General features: G+C 38.2%; 1 long non-coding RNA gene across 1 annotated transcript; it reads left to right on the top strand.

The window, feature by feature from the left end:
• Window positions 1-2,989: 2,989 nt before the first annotated feature.
• On the top strand, window positions 2,990-5,475 carry LINC01309 (long intergenic non-protein coding RNA 1309). Its single transcript, NR_126374.1, has 2 exons — window positions 2,990-3,111; window positions 5,106-5,475. It is a non-coding gene; the product is annotated as a long intergenic non-protein coding RNA 1309 (long non-coding RNA).

A 5,475-nucleotide genomic window follows, 5' to 3' on the forward strand; every position in this document is an offset into this window, starting at 1 on the left:
TATTCTTCCTAACTGAATTTTTTGCTCTTTGATCAATATCTTCCCCTGACCCTCAGTCCACCAGCCCTGGTAACTACCAGTCTGTTCTCTGCTTCTGTGAGTTTGACTTTTTAGGTTGCACATATGAGTGAGACTATGCGGCATTTGTGTGTCTCTTCCTGGCCTATTTTACTTAGCATGACGCCCTCCAGGCTCATCCATCTGTGTAGTTCATTGGTCCTTCTCATGTTTTAGCTCCCTTGATTGGGACCCCAACCTTATGAGAGGATTATTAGTATTATTCATTTTTATGGTAGAAAATTGAGGAATAAAAACGTGAAGGGCGGCCGGGCGCGCTCACTCACGTCTGTAATCCCAGCACTTTGGGAGGCTGAGGCAGGAGGATCACAAGGTCAGGAGTTCGAGACCAGCTCGGCCAATATGGTGAAATCCTGTCTCTCCTAAAAATACAAAAAGTAGCAGGGCATGGTGGTGCACACCAGCTACTCGGGAGGCTGAGATGGGAGAATTGCTTGAACCTGGAAGGCGGAGGTTGCAGTGAGCCGTGATAGTGCCACTGCACTCCTGCCTGTGCAACAGAGACTCCGTCTCAAAAAAAAAAAAAAAAAAAAGTGAAGGGCCTGGCCTAAGAGCTTATAGAGACTGAGAAGATTTGTTAGGTCAACCCAGGCCCTGCTTCTTTCTACCCTTTGGGTTGCTATTTCTCTGGGACCATCTAGCACACCATTATAGGCATATCTTTCCCGTTTTTTGTTTGTTTGTTTGTTTGTTTTTACTAAGTGCTGTACTATCATTGAGTGGTTTAAATAATGACAAATGGCACATTCCCGACTTCGAACACTAGGATACTAGAGCAGTGGCCCAACTGGGGGCAATGCCTGGAAACGTTTTTGGTTGTTGTAACTGGGAGGGGTGTGCTCCTGGCGTCGAGTAGGCGGAAGCAGGGCCAAGATGCTGCTCAGCCTCCTACAATGCACAGGACAGCTCCCCAGGACAAAGAACCTTCTCATCCCGTATGTCAGTAGTACTGAGGGGGAGAAACTCCGTTCTTCAAAATAACAGTTTTTCAGTTCCCTAGTACAGCATTCTTACACTGTAATAGTAAACAGAACGGATGTCCTAAACAATAGACTACAAAAATAATTTGGTTGCTAAAAGCGTTTTTGTTTGTTTGTTTGTTTATTGGTTGGGAAAATAATATAAGTTGGATCTTGGCTCCACTAGCTTTCACAGTCAGTGGCTATTTGTACATGTAAATAATTTTCATCAATTAAATTATAAGGAAACTAATTAAGATATCATAAATTATAACTAAATGTTGATTACTAGGCATCCAAATTACCTACTCACCTTCTAATTGTGTTTGCATATCTTAAAAAACATATTTGATTAAGTAAGAATGTAAGTACAACTTGGGATGTGGCCTTTTTTTTATAGATATAAAAACCAAAAGTTTCTAAGGCCCAGGATGTCTAATTTCTAATTTCTTAGATAGTCGCTAATTCATGTTCCATCTCAAGAAATTCAAAATGAGAAGGTGGCATTCCAAGGACTACCATGGTTTGGTTCTTTCTTATAATAATTTTAATTCTAATAAATTCAATTTTTCTAATTCCTTTTTTATGGTACTAAATACCCATGCATTTAATCTCTTTCTAATCTTTCTTTCCGCTTCCCCAGTAAATTGGAAGTAGGCATTGCAGAGACACTTGACATTTTAAAACCGGGCTTTGACTTCTGGGATAATAAAGAGGTCTGTTACTGAGTGTCCCCATAGTCAGTGAAATATCCTGGCACGTCTCAACCTATACCATGTTATAATTTCATGATGAATAGCTTTACAAAAGGAGACAGATAGTTGTCTTTCAGAAGCACAGGAAGAAAATTAGAAAGTACCAAAGTGGCATGAACTATCTCTTCACAGAAGTAAAGCAAAAAGCCCGAGAACCAAATAGAGATTTAGATAGAAAGCTTAAAAATCAACCTTTTTATTTTTTTAAAGCAAACGACTTATAGTACAAATAGACAGTGTACATTATGACATATGTTTGTAGCCTAGGAAAATATACAACATAGGCTTTATTGCAGAACATAATCCATTTAAAAAATAAGAGCCATCTTTTTCTAAGGGCATAGGGTCTAAAAAACCACTTCTTATTTTCAATGCTGACTTGTATGTAATTTTGGTAAAGGATTCACTGTTTGCGTTTATATGGATTTCTAGTTTTGATTAGAAAACAAGTTATTGAATTTCTACTTATGATTACAAAATGACTGAATTTGCCCCAAACACTGGAAAGTAAAAATGTGGATGGAATTCTTGTTACCACCTCAATATCGTTCAGTTAAGGAGTGGGTTGTCCTCACTAAATATTCACTCCAAAGATGAAAGAGCTAAAGCTATCCAATCGGGGTGAATAATTTCCCCAAGACCTCACTGGAGCAACGGCAACACAACTGTAATATTGATATCTAAGACATCTTCCTTTGCCATCTCTTCGTTCATTCTTTGAGCAATATTTATAAAGCATGAAATTTCTATGGCCCTGGTGTTACATTATATACTCAGGATTCAGTAATAAATGATGATTAAAAAGACAGAATTCCCGCTCTTAAGGAGCTTTTAAGATAGAGGGAGATGGTATATAAAAGTAAGCCCCCTTTGCAATAAATTCTTTAAGGAGCACACAGGATTCACAGTGCCCTGCTGGAGATACAGTCACAAGTTTTCTACGGTCACAGGTTTTCTGCAAGAACTGACTTCTACAAGAAACTGAGAAAGAACTGAAGCAGGGGAAGGAGTCGAAGCTCCAGGCATAGGGAAAATGACAAGAGGGTAAAGAAATCATGGCTGGTGCAGGGACCTGTGAGTAGCCGAATACTGGGGCTCAAGGTTAGCTAAGGAAGTGACAAATGAGGCTGGAGAGGTTTGCTAGGACAAGCCATGAAGGGTTTGTTCATTATTCCATGTCATTTGGATTTTATGCAGAGTCTTTGTAAAAGTGACGTGAAGAGATTTTCATGTTGGAAAGATGACTAACTGCATCGTAGAATTAATGTGAAAGGGTGGCCCAAGGAAGCAAGTTTCTTCACAGCTATTGCAATAAACAGGTGAGGAATGACTGAGGTCTGAATTGGATGGTGTTGGCACATGAAAAAGATGGACAGATACAAGATATATGGAAGAAAGAAAATTTGAAAAAAAAAAAGGTGATTAGTTAAGTGTTACCATAGAAAAAGAGAAGGAAGAAAAGGACCTAGGCTATGAATTGAGCAACTGGATAATGATACAATTTTTTAAGGTAGTAAACATAGAAAGTGGAGCATGTTTGTGGACCATTGTCTTTCTGTTTAGTGATGTGAATATGTACTTATATTTTAGCCAGATAAACTTGAAGTAAAAAATCCAGTCTATAGTAAAGCATGAATTGGAGAGAGAGACTTGAGGTCTAAACTTCACTTTAAGTGCTTGATCTATAATGATGGGAAGGAGGGGAGGTGTAGCAGTCTGGCTACCTTCCTTTCTAGCTCTTTTTGCTTCAATGTTTCTAGAAGTAAAGATGGGATTTCTGAAAGTACTTAAGTAGAATGAGGTGGGAAAGTAGGCGTGAATTCAGCCTTAAGTTAATTTGACTGACGGTTCTCTATGTGCAATTGTGCTAATGATCAAAATCAGCCAAAATAACAGCGAGTTATACAAGTTTAGAGAAAGCCAAAATTGTTGCCTACCAGATAGTTTGTCACAAAAAAAGGATTCCCAAATTGCCAAGTGCTGTTTTCATTTGCTGCCTGCTGCCATTCTAACTTACCCCCTATCTATTGGAAATTTCCAGAAGGCATCTTAACTGACTTCTATGGTGCTAATTGCAGAAAACTCTCCGAATTTCCTTCTTCTTTTAAAGACATTATATCCTCTTCTTTTCTGAATTAAAAATAAAATCTCAGTCCAAGTCAACATTCTGACAGAAGTTTAAACAAACCTGGGGCATTAAAATGCAGTTAAAAAAAAAGAAGAAAAAGGGAGAACTAACTGTAAAATGCCCTGTCTATATAAAGAATTGGAAATGCATGCAGTATTGTGTTGTTGAGTTTGGGGTGGTATGTTTATGCGCTTGAGTGATTTTTGACCTAAATATTTATCAATTGATGTGAATTCAAACCAACTACTTAAAAGTTGGGCAGCTGGGGCCAACTACTGTCAGTAGCCAGTGGCTGGCACCCAATGATGGCAACGATTTTACTGAGGATTACCCATGCGCTTGAGTACATAGGTCCTTATGCACAGAGCTGCTAGAATTCTATTTCTGCTCTCCCTTGAGCCTAGGATGACAATCATGATAAATGGTATCATACTGTGAGGTGGTTTGTGATGAAAACAAATTTCCACTCGGGATCATAACACAACCTCTACACTGAGGCTCTGATAAAACACTTAGAAATGTGCAATTGTCTTTTCTCTCCTCTTTCTCTTTTGTCTTTGTTAAAAATAAAAACCAAAACCAATACATTCCCACCCAAAGAATAAACCCACAAAAAAAACAAACATTTAAGATAACTGAAATGTGTACTGGGAACAATACTCTTTATCTAGCTAGAGATTGGGATTTTTATTATTTTATCTATGGATATCTGTCTATCTAGATATCATGTATGTATGTATCTATCTACTTTCCTAATTATTCAGTTTTCAAGTGGAAACGAGATAGTGGAAAATGAATAGGTGGGGATTTGAAAATTATAGATGGGATAAACTGTGGAGGTAGGGAAGCTACAGGTGTTTAAAAAACTAGATAACAGCTTTCTCTATGGAATTGGACAATTTTGAACTTAGGCAAGGTTCTCTTTGCAGATATGCCACAGTGGTTAGCATTTTGATAAGATCTTTTTTTTAAACAGAAGGGCTAATTTAGTTTATTATTTGAATATATTGATATTTTGGTATAAACTGGATCACCTCCCTGTTTTAAAATTAAGCCTGCTCTTGGTCAAAGTAAACAGAATTCGTCATTTTAGCAGGAAAATGCAATGCCTTATCACTTTTCACTGTTAAATTTCTTGCTTTAATCATTTAAATGGTGTGATGTTCTTGTCTCCATTCTCCCTAGGGTCTACTGGAGACCTTGGCTTTTTATTTCCCTGACACAACTTCACACTGCTGGAGCAATGCTTGGATTGCTCTGGAAACACTGGCAAATCTCAAGATGCAGTTCAGGCTTCTCCATGATGAGTGTGAGTCCCTAGGCTGTCTCTCAAACTAAAGATTCCCCAGCCAGGCAACTCTAAAGAGTCTTCGACAAGGCAACACAATTACTCTGTGTGCTTAGAAGAAGAGGGGTCATAAATGTCAGCTGTTGCTCTTTGAGTCCTGCTAATTCATTCATTGATTCACTCATCTTTCCCACAGGCATGTGCTGTGCGTTTACTGTACTGCATGACACTGTGGAGGTTATAAAGAAATAAAATATTTGGGGCTTA

The sequence above is a fragment of the Homo sapiens genome, chromosome 13 (genome assembly GCF_000001405.40).
Source record: "Homo sapiens chromosome 13, GRCh38.p14 Primary Assembly".
Lineage (NCBI taxonomy): Eukaryota > Metazoa > Chordata > Mammalia > Primates > Hominidae > Homo > Homo sapiens.